General features: G+C 33.6%; 1 protein-coding gene across 2 annotated transcripts in view; it reads right to left on the reverse strand.

Annotated features, from left to right (window-relative positions):
* KCTD8 (potassium channel tetramerization domain containing 8) overlaps positions 1-22805 on the reverse strand; it is a 274907-nt gene that overhangs the window by 143283 nt on the left and 108819 nt on the right. The gene's annotated exons all lie outside the window — the stretch shown is intronic.

A 22805-nucleotide genomic window follows, 5' to 3' on the forward strand; every position in this document is an offset into this window, starting at 1 on the left:
AGAACCATGCACATTTGTTTATGTATTGCCTATGGGTGCTTTCTTTTTTTTTTTTTTTTTTTTTTGAGACGGAGTCTCGCTCTGTCGCCCAGGCCGGACTGCGGACTGCAGTGGCGCAATCTCGGCTCACTGCAAGCTCCGCTTCCCGGGTTCACGCCATTCTCCTGCCTCAGCCTCCCGAGTAGCTGGGACTACAGGCGCCCGCCACCGCACCCGGCTAATTTTTTGTATTTTTAGTAGAGACGGGGTTTCACCTTGTTAGCCAGGATGGTCTCGATCTCCTGACCTCATGATCCACCCGCCTCGGCCTCCCAAAGTGCTGGGATTACAGGCGTGAGCCACCGCGCCCGGCCCGGGTGCTTTCTTGCTGTAATGACAGAGTTGAGTAGTTGTAACTACAAAGCCTAAACACTTACTACACGATCCTCTGTTTAACCCACTTATGCCTAGTGTTCCATTAGTGGAGTGCTAAGCATGTGGGAATTACTTATATCCTACAGCTCAAGGTCATTGCCAAGGTCTGATTTTTCACTCATGGAAAAATTCAAAAAATTGCAATCTCTGGCATAAATGGGTTAAAAAGTTTGCCAACTCTTGATGAAAGCTACCCTTAACTTCTGTGATACTTCTTTCTCACTCTAATACTCACTAGTAGCAGTGCCCACAAAGATTACTTTCTGGTTTTAGGGAAGAATTCTCAGGATTTATCTGGATGTCAAAAACTCCAATTGCTAGATACTTGGTTTACAATGGAACAGGAATGGAATGCATCTCTTTCAGATGTTTCTAAAGGCATTTACTTCATAAATTAGCTGGTTGATTTACACTGGTCTTTGCATTTGCTGACTCTGAAGTTGAAGCATCTCTGGACTCCCTTGGGAGGCCCCTGCTTATATCTGGTATCATTTGCTCCAATTTTTGCAGGATATTCTACATCAATACTATGTAGTCTGCTTTCTATATTCCAATTATCACATAAACATTTCTGATCCATTGCTTGCATTTGTTTATGTTTATTATCATTGTAATGATGTCATACTGTCTGTTTTCTTTCTTTCTTTCTTTTAGAGATAGGGTATCACTACATAACCCAGGCTCAAAGTGGTGCAATGATAGCACACTGCAGCCTCAAACTTCTAGGTTCAAGCAATCCTCCTGTCCCAGCCTTCTAAGTAGCTGAGACTAGAAGTGCATGCTACAATGCCTGGCTTGTTTTTGTGAAATTTCTGATGGGTCTATGAGAACTTTGGAAAGATATGAGCTAGATCTTTGTGCTCAAGATGTCATCTGGAACGTGAAACTTAAAAAAAATGTTTTACTAGGAGGAATAATCAATATTGCTAAATACTGCAGAGACTTCAAGTCAGATGTGGGTAGAAAAGTGGCTCTAGATATAGAAACAAGGATGTCATTGGATACCTTGGAGATAGGTTAACTGACATAGTGAGGGAAGAGGGCCGAGAACAGCAACTTAAGGAATGGCTGAGATTTGAAGAAAACAAGTAACGTGAACACATGCAACATTTTAAAGTTTGACTTGAAGAAGAGTAATAGGCCTACATGTGGGCTGGAGATAGGTGATTAAATTGTAGACTTCTGTTAACTTATTTATTGTTGCTGCTGTTCTTTTTTGGGAGAGAAGAGAATACATCAAATTTAAAAGTGGAAGAAGCCTTGAGACAGAAAGGAGATTAAAAAAGAGTGACAGGGAATACTTTATTAAATGTATCCTTGAAAAAGCAGAAAAGAATAGAATCCTGGCACAGATAAAATAATTCACTTTAGGTAAGATGGCAGGAAGGAGAAAAGGCAAAAAATGAAGGATGCGGACGCAATCTAGAAATTGATGGCAGGACATTGCAAAGGTTTTCATTCTATTGCTTTTATTTTCTACCTGAAGTACAAAGAGTATGTTAGGTATTAGCTAACCTAAGAAATTCAAAGGCAGTTGGAATAGCTGCCACAGATAATGGAAGATAGAGAGAACTTGGATAATACTGAAGTACTGGTGAAATACTGAGGTTTCAATTGAGGATAGGTATCATTGTTTTGTAGTGACACAAGCTTCAGTTTGTAATTTCTATAATAGGTTTACACAGCCTGAGTAAGAGTACAAAAGAGGCCAATAGTTGGAGTTTCGCCCAGCAGGGGAGTGGGGGATTAGCAGGAGACTGGTATTTGGCCATGATGTCTAAAATGTATAGCGAAGGAAGCAGAATTAAAGGTGACTAACAGAGATCAAAGTAGAGGATTTAGGGACTGAGTACCCCTGTGGTAAAAAAAAAAAAAATGCAACACAGGGCAAAAATACGGAGTGAGAGAAAAGAAGCTGGGATTACAGTAAAATGCTTAAATATAAAATAATAGATAAATCACTTCTACGCCATGAGCCCTTCCTTGTGTAGCTGTGGAGATGAGTTGTCTAGTTAAATTCTCACATCAAGTTGAAGAATTATTATGAACTTCCTCTCAGAGATGAGAAAATCTCAGAAAGGAAAGAAAAGAATCTGGAATTTGGAATGCCAAAAAGTAAAGAATTTGGAAGGCCAAAAAATAGAGTCTGGAATCTCAATACCAAAAAGTAAAGAAACTGGAAGTTGCAAATTATAGGTGTTTTTCCAGAAAGCCTTATGTTTTTTGAACTCTCTCCATGTCTCAATAAGACTTCCAATGAGAAAGGAGCCATTATAGAACTGAGATTCTAGGCCGGGCGCAGTGGCTCATTCCTGTAATCCCAGCACGTTGGGAGGCCAAGGCAGGCAGATTACCTGAGGTCATGAGTTCAATACCAGCCTGGCCAACAGGGTGAAACCCCGTCTCTACTAAAAATACAAAAATTGGCTGGGTGTGCTGGTGAGCACCTGTAATTCCAGGTACTTGGGAGGCTGAGGCAGGAGAATCACTTGAACCCAGGAGGCAGAGGTTGCAGTGAGCCAAGATGGCTCTACTGCCCTCACACTGGGTGACAGAGCAAGCCTCCATCTCAAAAAAAAAAAAAAAAAAAAAAAAAAAAAGAGAGAGAGAATTGATGCTCTAGTCTGCTTCCATGGGGCTTCAAATCCTGGAGCAAATCACTCCCATCCCTTCCTACACTATCTATGTACCTTTCCAGACAATTTCAATAAAGAACATGACCCCTCATTTGAGAACTCTCAGATCTGGAGGGGCTTTTAAATTTGCAACTAAGTTCTTTTAAGGGCACTTTAAAGAGGGATATTTTGGAATTTTCTTCAATTAAAATCTCATTTTAGATTCTAAGGAACTTCCCTAAGTTATGAGAATACATGTTATGATTCAGATATATAGCTATGCCTACTCATTGGGACTTTTTCCCTATAAATATTGTGAAATAAAGCATCATACATTTTGGTGGTATAGAGAGAATCACTGAGTAATAGACCTCACCAAATAAAGCATTTTTATTTTAGAAGCATAAGTAAAACCTAAGAAGACTCTGGATTTATTTTCAGGAAAGGTTTCAAAATTGAAAGACTGGGATGCACAACAGTAAAGCAGTAGCTGTGTTTTAATAAATGAAAACAATGCTAATGAACATATAATAAATCCCTGTGCGATAGTGACTGGAAGAATAGTACAGAGTGAAATGGAAAAATCCACTGTTTATTCCTGATTCTTAAAAAAAAAAAAAAAAAGCCAATTAATACCTCCTCTTTGCTAATGCACTTTGGTTTGTTTGTTTTTCTGATTGAAGATATTTTAAGAAGGCAAGGAAAAGGATAACAAGATTTAAGTGAGAGGAGAAGCCTGATAGTGAAACTGGAAGGTGCCAAAAATAGCATTCCCAGGTGTATTTGTAAATGTGTTTTACATGCCGAGAATCTGTCCCTTGTAATGCTCATGGGCTAAGAGCCATTTGTCATAGCAACCTTCATCAACCATCCTAGGTGAATACTTTCTACCTTGTTTAGCTTATCACTTCACTGCATTTATTTCCTTCAAAGTATCTGTTTAAATACCTGTTTTGTTTTTAGTTACTCTTACTTCCTCGTGTCTTAAACCCTATTTTAACTATATAAGCTATTAAATCAGGAACAATGCTATTTTTGTGCACTATTGTCCACCAAGGACCTTACAAACAGTATGCACTTGATATCATTTGTTGACTTAACTAATGAATTTGCCATGTTCCTCAACTTGATGGCAACAATTTTCAAATTAAGACTTACTGTGTCACTTAATGACTGTATTTGGGCATAGGTAACAGATCTTACAGTGGCTAATCCAAAGGGGATCACTGTTTTCCGTGTTTTAGTTTGTTTTATGTTTTTTTGATATATCATAATAGCTGTACTTATTTTTGGGGTATATGTGATACTTTGATACATGTATACAATGTATAATAATCCAATCAGGATAACTGGGATATCCACCACCTCAAACGTTTATCTTTTGTGTTGGGAACATTACAATATCCTTCTAGCTATTTTGAAATATGCAATAAATTATTGTTAAGTATAATTCCCCTACTGTACTATTGAATACTAGAACTCATTCCCTTTCTCTAATTGTATTGTTGTACCCATTAACAAACTTATCTTCATACACTCCTTCCTCCTTTCCTTTGTAGCCTCTGCTAACTACCTTTCTAGTCTCTACCTCCATGAGATAAACTTTCCTTAGCTCCTACATGAGTGAGAACATGTAATATTTGTCTTTCTCTGACTGGCTTATCTCACTTAACATAATTACCTCCAGCTCCATCCATGTTGTTGAAGTGACAGGATTTTATTCTTTCTATGGCTGAATAATATTTCATTGTGCATATATACAACATTTTCTTTGTCCATTCATGCACTGATGGACACTTAGGTTGATTCTGTATCTTGGCTGTTGTAAATAATGCTATAATAAACATGAGAGTGTGGATGTCTCTTCAGCTTACTGATTTCCCTTTTTTTGGTTATATACCAAGCAGTGGGAAGGCTAAATTATATGATACATCTACTTTTAGTTTTTCAGAAACTTCCATACTGTTTTCCATAATGGCTATACCATTTTACATTCCCACCAACAGTGTACACGTGGTCCCTTTCTCCACATCCTTGCTAGCATTTAATTGCTGTCTTTTTTATAATAGCCATTTTAACTGGAATAAGATGATATTGTATTGTGGTTTTGATTTGCATTCCTGTGGTGATTAATGATGTTGAGCATTTTTTTCATACACTATTGGCCATTTGTATGTCTTCTTTTGAGAAATGTCTATTCAGGTCTTGCCCATTCTTTAATTGGATTATTTGGTTTATTGCTTTTGAGTTGTTTCAGTTCCTTAATATAGTCTAGTAATTAATCCTTTGTCAGATGGATATTTTGCAAATATTTTCTCCCATTTTGTAGACTGTCTCTTCATTTTATGTTTTTCCTTTGCTGTGCATTTTAGCTTGATATAATACCATTTGTCTATTTTTGCTTTGGTTGCTTGTGCTTTTGAGCTCTTACCCAAAAAATCTTTGCCCAGGCCAATGTCCTGTAGCATTTCCTCAATATTTTATTCTAGTACTTTCACAGTTTCATGTGTTACATTTATGTCTGTAATCTATTTTGAGTTAATTTTTGTATATGTTGAAAGATGGAGATCCATTTTTATTCTTCTGCATATAGATATCTAGTTTTCTCAGCACTATTTATTGAAAAGTGTTCTTTTCTCAATGTATGTTATTGGTGCCTTTGGTAAAATAAATTGGCTACAAGTGCATGAATTTATTTCTGAGTTCTCTATTCTGTTCCATTGATAAATGTGTCTGTTATTATGCCAGTACCATGCTATTTTGGTAAATATAGCTTTGTAGTGTAATTTAAAATTAGGTAGCTTGATACCTCCAGCTTCGTTCTTTTTGGCTCAGAATCGCTTTAGGTTTTTGAGGTCTTTTGTTGTTGCATACAAATTTTAAGATGACCTTTTTCTATTTCTGTGAAGAAAGTCATTGGTATTTTGACAGGGATTGCACTGAATGTGAAGATCACTTTGGGTAGCATGAATATTTTATTTTCATATAATAACATGTGGCCAGGCACGGTGGCTCACACCTGTAATCCTAGCACTTTGGGAGGTCAAGACAGGTGGATCACCTGAGGTCAGGAGTTCGAGACCAGCCTGGCCAACATGGTGAAGCCCTCCCTCTTCTAAAAATACAAAAATTAGCCATGTGTAGTGGCTGGCGCCTGTAATCCCAGCTACTTGGGAGGCTGAAGTAGGAGAATCCCTTGAACGTAGGAGGCAGAGGTTGCAGTGAGCTGAGATTGCGCCACTGCACTCCAGCCTGGGCGACAAGAGTGAAACTCCATCCCCACCCACCCCCCCCCAAAAAAAATTAAAAATTAAAAAAAATAGTGTTCAGGGTAAATAGTTCAGGAAACGTATGACAAGTCTACAACTCACCACTTGCCCTGGGATCCTTTGATTTTTTTATCCCATCCTTAGAATCCTTCATGAGAGCTGCTGGAAAAATGAAAAATTACTTTCAGTGGCAAAAACCACAATTACTTTTGTACCAACCTAATAGTTTTCATGTATTTGTTTAACATGGGAAGATTTCAAAAGTATCAAAAATCTGTTAATAAGAAATAAGTTTGGGCAAATAATAGTCTCATACTAGAATGTTTCTTGATTGATATACAAGCCAGAAAAACCCTAATAAAACATTATCATCGCCTGGTCTGTCTCACTCCAACAAGCAATAATGAGCCATTATAGACTGTTCTAGGAGGGATAGCATTGGGAGATATACCTAATGCTAGATGACGAGTTAGTGGGTGCAGCGCACCAGCATGGCACATGTATACATATGTAACTAACCTGCACAATGTGCATATGTACCCTAAAACTTAAAGTATAATTAAAAAAAAAAAAACAAAACAAAACAAAACAAAAAAAAAAGGAAACCAAATTTTTATCACAAGAAAGTCCAGAGAGTACAGAGTTAGAGCAAATAGAGGGCTAAATGAATTAAATATTTAATGGCAGGATAGGCCAGCCTGGTATGTACATACCAACTTTAGGGATGGTTTTTCCAATTAGATTTAAATATTCAGGTTGTTGACAAAGACATCCTCTCCTCTAGACCATATTTGTATTGACACAGTCAAGCTATTAATTCTGAGATCCTCTCTTTTCCATACTTCATTTTATGACTAACTCTTTTTTGATGGGTACATTCTTTCTTTTGATATTTTACTGTCTTCAGTTATAATAAGTTTAGTCTTAACAATTGCAGAAGCTAATCTTTCTCTTTCAGGGAAATTTGCATGTCTCTGATCTGATGCATTTACTTCACAGTTTAACTGTCAGAAAGTAATTTTGTTTCCACTTTTTCCAAGTTCTCCTGGAACTTTCCAGCACAGTCGTAAAACATTGACAAATAATGTGAACATGGTTTTCGATCTTAAAGTTGACTAATAAATATTAACCATAAAATTTCCTTCAATGTTTAATTTTTCTTTCAATTGCCCCTGAGGCTGATGAATTTTTCCTTATAGTATTTTAGGAATAAAGATTCTTCTGCTCATGTTCTAATATCAATATTGGCTTCCCCTTGGAGACTTTTGATAAACATGTTATTTTCTTAATATAAGACTTTTTAAATGTCTGAGCATCTGGTTGCTTAACATTCACCAACATATTATCAATTACTTCTCTTTTTAAGAGGAAAGAATTTGAAATTTGAATGTTCCAATTTCAGACTGGCCTTATGTTACTAATTGTGATTTTATGTAACTGTCTTGACATCCCTGAACTTTATTTTCTTTACCAGTGATATAGCTGCCAACTCTATCGCACACCACTGTTTTAAAGATCAGATCAGATTATATAAGCATGAGAACAAATAGGGTGGAAAGATAATCTTCTTTCAGGCAAGAATTTCTACGTGTTGCTTAACTCCAAAGCTCTATAATTCTGGGTAAAATAACTTTAAATGCAATTGTCTGTTTGAATGCACCCTATGTAAATATCTAGCCACAGCTATTTCTTTGGTGGTTTGGGTGGAAGCTGGATGTGCAAATTGTGGTACGTGAGGTGTGTATGTAAGATCCTTTAAAATACAGGAGAAATTCAAAGTGAAGAGAACGGAATAAAGACTGAAAGTTGAGGGCGAAGGAATACTGTTCCTAGAACTGCCATATTCTAGAACTCTGAGACATCTGAAAATTCTAAATTTAAACTTAGCCCTCTAGGTTCTTGTGAACATATGTTGGTCAAAGTATGAAGACAGAGCCTATTTTATTTAACAACTTGCTTATTTGATAAATTACTTTAAATAGGCATATGAAATTTTAAAATTAAGCGTGTAACTGGATTGTTTGTAACTGAAAGGATACATGCTTGAGGGAATGGATACCCCATAATCCATGCTGTGCTTATTTCAAATTGCGTGCCTGTATCAAAACATCTCATGTATCCCATAAATATATACAGCTACTATGTACCTATAAAAATTAAATAATAATAAAAGTGATAAAATAAAATAAATATTGAGGCATATGATATATACCTTTGCCCCAGGCACAAAGATATTATCGGCAGGCTTGCTTAGTCTTTCTGTATTTCTATACTTAGAAAATATCAACATTTAAATATAGCCCTGTAGAAGGAGGGGTATCCCTATCTCCTTAATTCACAGGGGATATAATCGAGCTAGTGTTATTAGGTATAAGTCACCACAAACAAGACAGGAAGAAATGTGTGCAGATATAAGATATGCTTTTCTTCTGCTTCAAAAAGTGGTCAGTTAAGAAAAAATTTAAACTTAATGGAGAAGTTCTTGAGACAGACTTTCTGAATGTAAAGACAAGCCAACCGTGACCAAGGAAGTCATTGTGCAAATGTCCAGATCAGAAAAGTACTCTAAAATGTTGTGTGGAACACATATCCCTTGTAATGTCATTGCTTCTTCAGTTAGGTTCACAACCTTGTGTTTTTTCATTTGTTTGTTTTAGTCATGGAATAGATCAATGAATCTTCTATGTTAAAAGCATCTTCCATGTTCAAGGAAGTTTTTCCTATTTTTTTCAACTTATATTACTTTATATTTTGGGCTATTTTTGCCTTTATGAACAATAACAGCACCAATGACTATGATTAGACATGATTGGGTGCATGTGTATATGTCTATTTTGGTAGCTGTCTGCATTTTTTTGCATTAATTTTTACTTAAAACTAGGATTCTATTTTGTACCGTGTACTTTTAATTCATGGATTTATATTATAAGTTGATTTAATGAAAGGGAATAATTAAAGCCCACAGTATAATAAAATCTCAGATCTACTCCTGTATATTTTACTAACCTGAAGGGTTAGAGCATGAATTACCAAGATAATCACCTCTACTATCCACTGCATATGCCTAAACAATTTAAAGTTTAAGCATTATTTTACTTTCACATTTTTGCTCCTCTTTTCTTATATAAACAAATATGTCTTTCTTCCTCTGCTTTACACCCTAGTTGTTTGTCTGGTTATCTCTTTTTCTCTTCTTGTTATGTACTACATATGTCCATGAGTCTAGTTGTTTGTCTACTTAGGTTTTTTCTCTTCTGGTTATTTACTATGTATATCCATGACTAATACTCCAGTCTTTCCAATATATAAACATTTGAAGGCAAATCGTTTTCCAGAAAGATTTCCATGCATGAGTAACAGGTATTCTGAGAGTGAAATTAACCAGCTCATATTCCTCATCCCTTTATTCTGCCAAATGGGAAAACTAATCTTGTTATGTAAGAAGTCATTACTTCATCTACTCATCAGCTGTTTTTGACATGCTCCAGTTGGCTCTCAGTTTGGAAATAAAATTGCACAAGGATGAAAATGAAGCCTGTTTCAGAACACTTTCAAGGAAGATTTGTTCCTGTAATGGGCTCTTTGCCGAAAGATACAGTTTTTAATTTGTGAGAAAATAAAAATGCAGTTCAAACAAGTGAAACATATAAAGTCAGAGGTCAAAAGACATTCTTCTTTTTATAGCAAGGAGGTTCAAACTCTGTATTAAGTGAAATTGAAAACACACATTTTTTGCTGTCTTCCACTTCTAGCAGTTTGGACAATGTATCTGTGAAAACAACTTAAAATTAAGTCAGGTTTCGATCTGTCCGTTTTCTACACATACTAGTCTCAGAATCTACTTTTTTACCCCCAGGTAAGTATTTAATATGTTAACTTCAGTCTTACTATCTCTATTTCCTTGTAATTATAGTTCTCTCCTTACCACATTCTGGCAAATGAAACATTTCTAACATGATGTATGGAATAATAAAGAATGTTTGTATAATGTTTCCCACAGTAGCTCTGGTTGCAAGAGTTTTTATAAATATTGGAACTGAGAGCAATCCCAAAGGGTATATTGAAATAATCAAGGCTCAGGAAGAACACCGAAGTCTGAGATAAGGTTACTTATCAATATCATTATTACTATTATTATTTTATTTAGATATTTATAAAAGGTAGCAATTAAAAATATAAAGACTCTGGGGGAAAAAAAACAAAAACCTTTTCTGTATGCATATCCCAGATTTTCCACCATCTAGCTGTATGATCTTGGGCACTCAACATCTCTGTGCCTCGACAGCCCCATCTATTGAATGGAGGCATAAAAATGAAGTAGATCCTAACTCATACAGTTGCTGTGAAAGTTTAATCTATCATTACAAAGAGCCATCATTTGTTAAGCACTTGCATTGTATCAGACACTGTTCCAAGTAATTTAAAATACAAACATTTGGTAACTTTAAGAAAGTCTTAAAATACTAACTTCCAAAGCACATTGAGGATTTACATACTCCTTGAAGCATATTTCTTTTATAGGAAAGTGAAGTAATGCTTCTCTCACATCAAATACTAATTTATTAGCTTACTAATATTTAAATGGATGATATATAGATCCAAGTACAAACACAAGATCCAAATAAAAACACATAATGATTAGAATTATTTCCTGTAGAAGGCATTTTGCAAAAAACATCAACATGAAAGTAAACCAACTCATAGAACTGTGTACTTAAATATATGTACTCTTCTTGTATGCAAAACAGGCTTTAATAAACTTGAATGAAAAACAAACAGAAAGCAAACCAAATCATTGGTTAATTTGTTGACAGCATGGGTAACCATGTCGTAATTGACTTACTATATTTTTAAAGGATCTCTCCTAACACCTACTAAATGTTTCTTCTCTGACTACAACAAATAGATTTGCATTAGAAAGAGGTCTTTACCCAGCTGAGTACTAGATGACCACATCATTGACATATACACTTCGCCAATCCCAACGGCTCTACCACATGTATCTTTCCCTGGCTTAAAGCAATTTGCACTCTATACATGTAGGACATCCATAAAATGTACAGTTATCATTACACATGTAACTATTTAACATAAATAGTTTTAGATGATTTTCCATTAGAAACACAAAACTATTAACTATTCTGCAATAGCAAAAATCATGAGAATCAAGTTCCTAAATTATCAGTGCCATCCAAAGAGTTGCTTTTAAGCTTTGACAAATAATAAATGTGGCTGAACAGAGTGGGGAAAATAGTTCCAGCTTTTATGGAGTCTTAACTACCCATAAGTAATTTTGGAAAATCCATTAATCTATTAAAATTGCAGAGCTCTGGACTTTCTTTCATTATTGACTGTCAGTAGAGATTAAGTTTACCATCACTCCATGGCAGCTAAGGACAGGAGTACAAGGGGAAGGAAAACTGGGTTCCAGTCCCCATTCGGTAGACACTTAGGTGTCCAACCGTGCAAGATACTTACTCTCCCAGGGCTTTTGTTTTCTCATCTACATAACTGACAGATTATAAAGTCTTTCTTATAGTCTTGCTAAGTTTTGGGATCATGGTTAGGCACCATAAGAAGAGGAGTGTTCTTTTTAGAATATTACATCAAAGAAGTAAATATTACCTTAGGTCTTGAAAGAGTTAACGGGTTTCAATACTTCAAGAATAAATCCTCCACTTTTTTTTTTTTTACGATAAAAAACAACCTCGCTGGGGTTTGTTTTTCTTGAAATCTGTTATATTTAAAACATGCTGAGATATCAAGAAATGACCAATCTAATTACTTGCATTTTTGGCAAAGATTTAGTTTCTTAGGCAGTAAGAAACTAAATGAAAAACTGAGAGAGTATTTTTCTTTATCTTGAAGAAAAATATGAGAAAACTATTGAGTGAATTTTTGAGGAAAGGAAAAATATTCTCTCCCATTTTACACATTTCCTAATAAGTTTGTATTACTTTATCTTCTAATTTTTTAAAGGGTCCCTCTGTAAGCATTAATTTTAGTGACACTGAGGTAAGATAAATTGTAAAAAATAAAGTTTTGTATATATAAGCTGTATATAAACTGTAAAGCTCTATATAGATGTAACACATCCATTATTCTCACATTCTTGATCTTAATCAGAAATACAATTAGCCCTTATCTTGCTTTGTGCAACCAGATTAGAAACATGAGTACCCAAGACAAACTTTTGTAGTATATCATATATAAGTAAAACAAATTTATTGAATGATAAAACAAAGGTGAGTTGAAAATATGAGCCCCCTGTGCTAGGTGTAAAATTAACAGTACTCTATCAGTATAATATTCTTGAGATACAAATAATTCTTGGAATAGTCTTTTTCACATAAAATTTAAATATCTATTTTAAATTTGATCCCTAGATTTTAGCTATAGTAGACAACAGTAAATGTAACTCTGACTTTTCATTGAAGACCACAGAAGCTTCCATCTACTGGAATTCACAAGGAATACCATATGATATCTATCATGGAACCTCATATCTCAATACTTCACAATCTAGCCACTATACCCACTGTATGTTCTATATAGAAAAGCCCCATCAATTCAGAAAAAAAATGCAATGAACATGTCAGCTTTTTCTATTATCATTCTTTTTTTCATTGTAACTAAAAACCTCACATTTCAGGTTAGATACGTTTGAATCTAATTAGGTGGACCTTTTGGTTAGTCTTATAGTCATCAGTAATATGTTGTTAGAATTTCCTATAAAATCTACAAATGTGGGTCATACCTCAGGTGGATATCGCACTTAATGAAAATTATACCTGCATTGACTATTAGCTTGAAACCTCAGAACAATGCTGTCCTTATTTTCCATAACACTGTCACTAGATAGTACTAATGTTTTATTTAGTTCTGCTGAGCCCAAATTTCTCTTCTTAGTTTATGACTTTTTTAGAAAGCTTTTACATCTGGAATTAGTTTCATATACCATGTTTTATCAGAGCTTTATTTTTCATGGATGTTATCAGTATCCCAAATGTTAGCTATTTTGCAAGGGCTCCAGTTGCATCTTTGTATTACAACAAAAAGTAAGTAGTTAAAATGTGGGAACCAGTTATGAAGAAAAACTAGCATCTAAAATCAAAGAGACCTGGTAATAAATGAGAATCTGACAATTACCACAGGTGTGAACTTCAATAATTCAATTAATTAATTTTTCTGAGCCTCGGTGAATATGTCTATAAACTACCAAAAAGGTTGCTATAAAAATTAAATGAAGTACTATATGTAAAGCTCAAAGCAGATAGTAAAAGTAGGTACTCAATTTCATGCTAGGGTTGCTTATGATGATGATGACAATGAAGGAGATGACAAAGACAGTGTGTCCATCAGGATGATTCAATGCTTCAATTAGTTTTCTGTTTGAGCCAGAGAAGAGGGGGTACTGGTACAAATGCAGTTTCCCAGAGAAGATATGAGGCATACCACATTGTGACACTTCCTCTTCCTTGATCCTAATCAGTTGTTATTAAGGCATAATAGATACTTTATGAGAAGACAGGAAAAATTTCACTTTTGTAGATTAAACATGTTAAATATTCTTTCATCAATGGAAAAGTTTTTCACAATCCTAGGTATGTGGAGAAGGCATGATGGCTTCACATGCTTTCTAAAGGAAGTTCATTAAAAAATAAAATATGAAAAAATACATTTTTGAAGCTGTCTTTTCCTTCTCAGTTTGGCAACAGCTCTTTGATAAAAAGAATAGTTCTAATTGTCATGCCCTAAATATATATTCTGCATCATCGATCCTCTAATATTGTTAGGAAAAAGTAAGGACCAGAGTATTAATCACAGGCAGGCATACCCAGTGTTGAGAGCATTTTAATTTAATGCTAATAAAAATAAAACTAGCTCCAACGCACTTTAACGACCCTATTACTGTAAAATTATATTATTTTGGAAAATATGTCTGCCCTATATAACATTATTTATCATATTATAAAGAACTGAGAAAAAGATTTGGACAGAGAAAACAGATCATAGATAGGTTGTTAACAAGAAGACACTGTTCTTATTGTAATGAATGTGACACACATGAATTAACCAATGTGCAAACAAAACTCGTTACCATTTTTGAGTGGAAAACTCACTGCTAATCTTTCCTGTTGATTTTGAAGATGATAGTAATTTATAAAATGTATATATTTTTATTGAAATTACATATATATACATATATGGAAATATATGTGGAGATGTGGAGCCATATATATAGTTTTATATATATATATATGTACAGCTTTATAGAGAGAGTGAAACCCTACAATAATCCACATCTCTCTCTGTGTGTATATATATATAAATTCATATATATGAAAAAAATAAAATATATATATGGATATGTATGTGGAGCTATATATATACACAGAGAGAGAGAAAGCAAGAGAGGGCATGAAACCCTACAATAATCCACGTAAATAACTGTATCTTTCTTAAACCAATTCTTCAAAAACCCGAAATAAGGCACAAGTAATAAAAAAATTAAAATACAGTCACACTACAGAAACTAGTAGATACTCTCAACTGAAACATGGTCCAAATTTCATTCCTTTACCAGAAATAAAGTTTAATGCAATACGCTGAAAGAAATGCTCTAAGTAATCAGAGGTGTAAATTTCACTGATCGTTCAATTATTTTCTAGCTACACAGTCTCTAAATTTCAGTGTTCTTAAGTATCAAATAAGTGAGAATAGATCACCCAGTGTTTTTCCTGGTTTTCTTAGCAACTAACCTGTTTTTCAAATACAGTCTATACAGAAACTCAGTATGTTTTGAACAGATGACTGGATCTGCTCTGTTGGAATTAAGATGGAGAAACATGGTCCAGGACCTTCAGCCTTCTCTGTTACACATGGCTGTTATATAATATACCTTAACACTGTTTCAAATCAAGTACTTGCATTTATAAAATATATTAATCCTGCCTACAAATTTCAGTCTTTACACAAAAAGGAATGAAATATTATTCACCATTTTTATTCTCCATAGATTCATACAAGATAAGTTTTCAATAACTAGTTGTTGACTTCATCTGTGACAGTACCTTACATTTATGTACTATTTTACTTCTTACAAAGCATTTCTCACAGTTTCTCATTATCTCACTTGTTTTTTACCAGTAATACAGTAGGCAAGAAAAGTTTAAATGAAAGAGAAATAGGTTCTTTTTCACTCTATTATCTCTTTCTTTTTTTAAAAAAGAAAACTCCATAGTTAGGAAAAGACAAATCCATCATACAAATTCCATCATAAATGTTTCCATTTTTATAGTACCATATATCACATATGTTCCAAATGCATATCACTGTTTCAAAAATGCTCTTGGTTTTACATGACAGACCAGAGATTCTCAACTCTGACTCTGTTGATGTCAGTTGTGACAACCAAAAATGTTTACAGGCATTGTCAAATGTCTCCTCAAAGGGCAGTCACCCTCAGTTGAGAACCACCTGAAACACAAACACTAAGGTCAATTGCAGAGACCAATTCATTTCAATACACCTGCTATGTTCACAACTATTTGTATCAATTGGCCATAATGATTGTAGAGTCTGTCATTCTTTGTTTCTAATGGCCAGATAACCAACTGATCACACTAGTTCCTTCATTATAATCATAGGGAGACAGTGCAATGAATATCTCATAGAATATACAGGCACAATTTTAGACTTTGGAAAAGACTGTGTCGCCGATTAATATTAAAGATGAAGACAGACAATCCAATACAGGGACCAGGAAAGATGTCAGCCTATAATGAATCTGTCTCAAATTACACACAATAGCAGGCTGTATAAAGAATATCATGCACTTTAATAAGTCGCAAGCAAACCAAAAGAAGGCTTTTATAGGAAACATTCTTAATAAAAACCTGGGCTACTGTCTTAAGTAAAGATGTAAGTCAATACTTCAATATTGTGCTTTACTCACAACCCTCCTATGATGCACAGGCATAGTATCAATCAACAAAGGCAGAGCTGAGCACAAGCTGGGTAGGTATAACTAAGGTCAAGTCTCTCATGATTTCTAGCAGCAGTATGTAGCTAACAGTTGTTTCAGCAATGTCTTGATTGCTACCAGTCATTGACCTTACCACTCATCCATTTCCTCACACATTTATTAAGTGATCATTTTTATCTGGTAATAGGTAACAGATTAGAAAGTAAAAATAAGATGACCTAGGAGCTGAGCTAAGAATGTGATGTTGTATTGAGGTGAATGAGAGGCATGATACAAGAGTAATATATGAAGATGGACACTCCTTGGAAAGAAAAGTTTTAAATGAAAGGCAAAAGCATAAGGCAAATCCAAAAGTAAAAAGGAGTGACTGCTATATTATTCGGTGCCAAAGAAGTTAAGAAAAAAAGTCGATCATTTAATATTCTTAGAAAGGTATAATATTCATGTTCCTTCATATGCCATAAAAGGTATAATCAAAATACATGGATCACAGACTGTTAGAAGCATGAGAAAAATTGAACACCATACAACTGGAGAAATCACTACCCATTTATAGCTAATTTAAAAGATAGAAATTAGGAAACTTATAGAGAATTTGAAGAACAGAATTAATAAAGTTGAGTTAATAGCTATAGTATATTGAACTTAGCACCCTACAGAGAGATACCATAAATTTTTTATTCCAGTGAACCACTGAATATGTTTTAAAAGTCACTCAATACATTGGTTGTCTGCTGTGTGCCAGGCTTTCTTCTAGTTACTATGATACAGCAAAGAAAAAAAGGATAAAATTCTCTTCATTGTACAGTACACATTCTGGTTATAAGGTAACCAAGAAACCTTCTATAAATTTCAAAGCAGAAATTGTACAGGATACATTTTCTGGATACATCATGATGAAGGAAGAAATTAAATTATACATGGTCAAACAAAATCCTCGCTAGTTTTTTTATGTGTTTATGTCTATTTCATCCAGTCATACTAGTTCTGAGAATTTATTCCAAGAAATAACTGAAGGTGGGCATAAAGATGTACTAACAAGGGTATTCATCAAGGCATAAATTGCATTAATGCAAGTCTGATAGGGATTAAATTATAAATGTATGAAAACATTTAAAAATAATATGCTGTCATAATGTGCAGCCATTTAAAACAGAAATTTTGGGAGAATATATAACAATGTAAAAAAAATCCTTGAACATAACAACAACAAAAAGAAAAACCAAGGATATAAACTAATGTACATAATCTGGTCACAAAGGAATAAAACACCAATATTAGAACCATAAATATTAGGGAATAGTAACTGTCATGAATTATAAGCCCATTAAATAAATAAATACACTTTGGAAATTTTGAAAGTTTGCTCAATTGCTTAATAATCAAAATGAAACCCAAACATCCAATTACAGATTATCTGGAATGCATCCAAAATGAAAGTAACCTCTCAACATTTATTGAACACTCACACATAGTTGGCAAATTCACACAATGACGAAATTTCAATTAGACAAGGGAAAAGAACATAAAAATATGGTTTTAGATGACAATGAAAAGGAGTCAAATGGACAATTAATCAAGATTTGATTCTGGCAAAACGTTTTTTAAATGGTGTAGGTAGAAACCACAAAGTTAGGATGAAAAGTTACATATAACAGATGTAAAGAATATTTAGAAATTATGATACTATGCACCAGTATATTCTAACAAAGTTGATCATCTCAATGTAATGGAAAATAATTTTAAGTGAAATACTTAATAAAAAGAAAGAAACAAAAATCCTGAAACTGCTGAAAAGACTATTAGCCACGGGAGATATTCAGTTGTTATTAATATTTTAATCTAAAAAATAAATTTATTTCATCTACCAATTTTATATTAAAGGAAGAAAAATACCTTCTTTTACATATAATCTGAACACCAAACCCCGAGACACACAATTTACCCATATAACAAACCTCCACATGTACTTCCTGAACCTATAATAAAAGTTGTAAAGAAACTTTAAAAATATGTTTCCTACAGGAGTTGTTGGGGTGTTGGTGGAGCCCAGAACAATTTTCACTCACATATTCATTAGAAGTAAATTTAAAAATTTTTAAATAACTCAGGAGATATTTTAAAGATAAATAATCTGCTACAAAATGACAGTTTTCTTTGAGAACTATTTGTGAATTTGTAATGCTTTTAGAAAAAGGCATAAATAACTGCTTTTTAGGATACTTTCAGGAAATACTTTTAGGGAAAGACCTAAATAACCCCTGTTATATTTACAATATAGATACAGATACAAGAAAAATGATTTTCTAGAGAGTGCAAAAGAGAAAAACATCCTTTGATTCAACGAAATGATTACAACCTTTTGGGAACCCCAACCCACAATAGAAAAAATATAAAGGCCGGGCGCGGTGGCTCACGCCTGTAATCCCAGCACTTTGGGAGGCCGAGGCGGGCGGATCACGAGGTCAGGAGATTGAGACCATCCTGGCTAAAACGGTGAAACCCCGTCTCTACTAAAAATACAAAAAATTAGCCGGGCGTAGTGGCGGGCGCCTGTAGTCCCAGCTACTTGGGAGGCTGAGGCAGGAGAATGGCGTGAACCCGGGAGGCGGAGCTTGCAGTGAGCCGAGATCCCGCCACTGCACTCCAGCCTGGGCGACAGAGCGAGACTCCGTCTCAAAAAAAAAAAAAAAAAAAAAAAAAAAGAAAAAATATAAAATTTAAATTTCTGAATAAAATATTAGCAAATATGATTCATTAGACTATTAAAAACAATATTAACAAACCTAGCAATGATGCATCTCAGAAATATAAAATTGATTAATGTTAGAATCTCTAAAGAATAAATATTTTATCAATTGGAAAAATTAGAAAAAGAACATCTTCACAGAATTGAAAATTTATATGATAGGTTTCAATACCACCCAATTAGAAAATCAAGAATAAATTATCTCTTTAAATAAATAATATTTAGGGTAAGGAAGCCTATCATACTCAATTAGACAACATTTTATTTATGGTGAGTAACTGAAGGCACCTGTATCAAAATTAAAATCGAAAAATGTTATTTCAGGTTTACAAAACAACAAGACATTAAACAGATATAAGCGTTACAACTATGAGAGAAAGCATGACTATTTGCAAATCATAAACTGAAAAACAAAAAATAAGAAAATCTCATTTAAATGTCCGGGAAGATAATGAAACTGAAAAAATCAGCAACTTTTCTCTGTACCAGTAACAGTTAGAAAATATAAACAGTCATAATATAATGAATTAAAATATCCTGAATAATAAACAATAAATGTATGATATCTACATACCTTTATTAGGAGATAGAGAAATAATTAATTAGTGCTTTGTTTTTAAAAAAGAATAAAATTATATCTTCACTGTATATCAAATAAAACAATAAAATGAAACTGCCATATAACAAATCTCTAAACGAGAGAAGTCTGTTTAGTTTAAGAAAGATTGAATAAATTATGGAAAAAAATTAAATAAAATTTAAATGATAAATTGGAAAATATTTAGAGTAAATATGTCTAAAAGGGGGTTAATCCAGAAGAGGATCTGAACTAATATGTCATAAAAGAAGATAGAAACACAAGTAATAAACACCTCTAAAATGTTCAACCTAACTAACAATCAATTATAAACTGTATTTTTGTTGTTGTGGCAAATTAGCAAATATGTTTAAACAATAACTAAAACAGATTGTTGGCCAGCGTTCAGTAAAGACAGGCTGGTAGGAGTATAAATTAGTTCAATTATGATTAAAAATCAATTTTAAATGGTCAAACCTATGAAAAAAGGACCTTGATCAAAATTATTTCAATTAAAAAATTACGTTATTTTAAAAGTAAAAACTATAACCTAAAATAGCATATATGCTATATGTTTTCATAGAACATATACAGTCAGCTGGGCACGGTGGTTCACGCCTGTAATCCCAGCACTTCGAGAGGCCAAGGTGGGCGGATCATAAGGTCAGGAGTTCGAGACCAGCTTGGCCAGTATGGTGAAATCCTGTCTCTACTAGAAATACAAAAATTAGCCAGTTGTGGTGGTGTGTACCTGTAGTCCCAGCTACTCAGGAGGCTGAGGCAGAAGAATCGTTTGAATCCGGGAGGAGGAGGTTGCAGTGAGCCGAGATTGCACCACTGCACTCCAGCCTGAGTGACAGAGCAAGACTCGATCTCAAAAAATATATATATATATATATATGTGTATATATATTTAGTCATTAATTGATGCTTCATGAAAAATTGCAATAATATGGTATTTATACCACATTGTTGAGTGTGTAAAATGTTAAAAGTCCAAAATTGTACAAATGACACGAACTGAACTATTTAAAATTATATATCCTGGTCACAGGAATAGTACTAATATTTTATTCTGCTTAATAATGCCCTATAACTAAACACATTTCTTTATTACAATATATGCAATATTTATGATGAAAATGGATATGAGTGCTTAAGTAAACAGAATACTATGCAGCAAATAAAATTATATTGTGAAAGATTATTCAGTGATATAAAATTATCATCACAGTCTGTTTAATGAGAAAAAAATACATTTAAATCAGCATTGCATCATCAACCTCTTATTATAAATAATATATAGGTACAGGGGTAAACAGGTTGAAAATATACAGCAAAATGTTAACAATAGTAATCTAGTAATGAAATTAGAGATGATGTGTATTTTCTTATTTATGCTTATCTCAATTTTCAGAATATTCCATAATGGAAATACATCATTTTCATATTAAAGAACATAAAAGTTATTTTTCAAATTAGCATTAAAAATAGTCTGACTTGGTTTACTGTTTTGTAAAATCCATAATCCAGGATATTAAGATGTCAGAACAGCATTGAAATATACCTAAGAGAAAGGTAAGTGAAGGTTTAACAGGTAAAGCTTATATCTCTAGGAAAACTATTCAGTAAAGACCAGAGAGAGTAGAACAAATCACCTAGATGCATGACAATATGCAACTTATGCTTTGTCTCTACGAAAACTGCAGTGTATTTGCCTTCTGTAGGAATATCTTAATAGGTAGTGCTACATGCCTTTTTCTCTGATATGCTCTCAGGATATTAAAACAGATACGTATGGATGTGTGCGTGAGTGATACCACACGTGTGGTTTCGATTTCTGACTTTTTAATGCAACACATAAAAACTTTTACAAAATATTATGGAGAAGTTTTCTGAAATTTGTGATAAATAATTTAACAAGTGCATGTTTCAAGAGATATAATTACTAAAGAACTCTATAGTAGAGCAAATTAGAGAAAATCTTCAAAAGTAGATACATTTAAAATTGAACTTTTTAGAACAAGGAATTGGCAGGGAAGATGGTGAGAAAAATAATCTGCGATTTTAATAGAAAAAAGCTCTCTTCATAAGTCCCTTATAGACACACATGAAAATAAGTATATAGGAGAAAAAGATTAGGCCTTTTCTGAACAGGAAAGCACATTCTGAGCCTCACTGACTTTCTCTCCCAAATGGAAATGTTACCTGCCCAATATACTCACAAGAGCTGTCTGAAGGCCACACGTAATATAGAAATTTAGGGTTAATAAAGTGATTACCAATTGTAATATGGTTGCCTTCTTTAAAAACTGCAAAAAGTACTTTTAAAAATTGTAAATATATTAACAGTAACTCATGTCTTATTTATTGAAGAAAGAGAAAATACAATCTTTGGAGTCAAAGACAACAAAGAATTTTGGAGACCAGTGTTGGATATGCAGCAGAAGAATCCCTCAAATCACAAAATAAATTTTTAAAGGGGCACTAACTATTATTCCAGAGTTCTTAGAATCCCTAGAGAAATTCCAAACATACTGAGAGCAGGATTTAAGAGTAGACATACAGCAAAAGACACAACTTGATAAAATTAAACCTCAGAAAATTTAGGGTTAATATCAAAGTAACTTCTGTTTAAGGAGGACTATACAAAATAAACAGGGTCGATTCAAATGATAAAAGGGTCAATCCATCAAGAAGGCATAACAATTGAATATATATACCTCACAATGAAGCTTCAAAAAACAAACAAAATGACACCATGAAAATGAGTAGACATTTCTGTAATTATAGTTGAAGGTTTTAACACTCTTCTCTCAGTAATTAACACAACAAGGAGACAAAAATATCCATACTGATATAGAAGATTTTATAACTTTCAACCAGCTTAAAATAATAGTAAATGTTAAAATGCTACAAAAAAAATTGAGAAGGAACATACACCAAGGTAGACCAATACTTTGAAAGAATTTAAATTATACATAATATGCTTCCTGATCACAACAATACTAAAAACCAATAGCAAAAATATATTTCAGATAATTGCCAAATACTTGAAAATTAAACAATTAGCAGTTTTATAATAACCATATGAAAGACTTGTACACAATACAACAATGTTCAAGTCAATATATTCAAGTCAACAGACAAAACTCAATAAAAATTGGAAATCAATTTGACCAGACAGATCAAA

This window comes from Homo sapiens, chromosome 4, assembly GCF_000001405.40.
Source record: "Homo sapiens chromosome 4, GRCh38.p14 Primary Assembly".
Taxonomy (NCBI): Eukaryota; Metazoa; Chordata; class Mammalia; order Primates; family Hominidae; genus Homo; species Homo sapiens.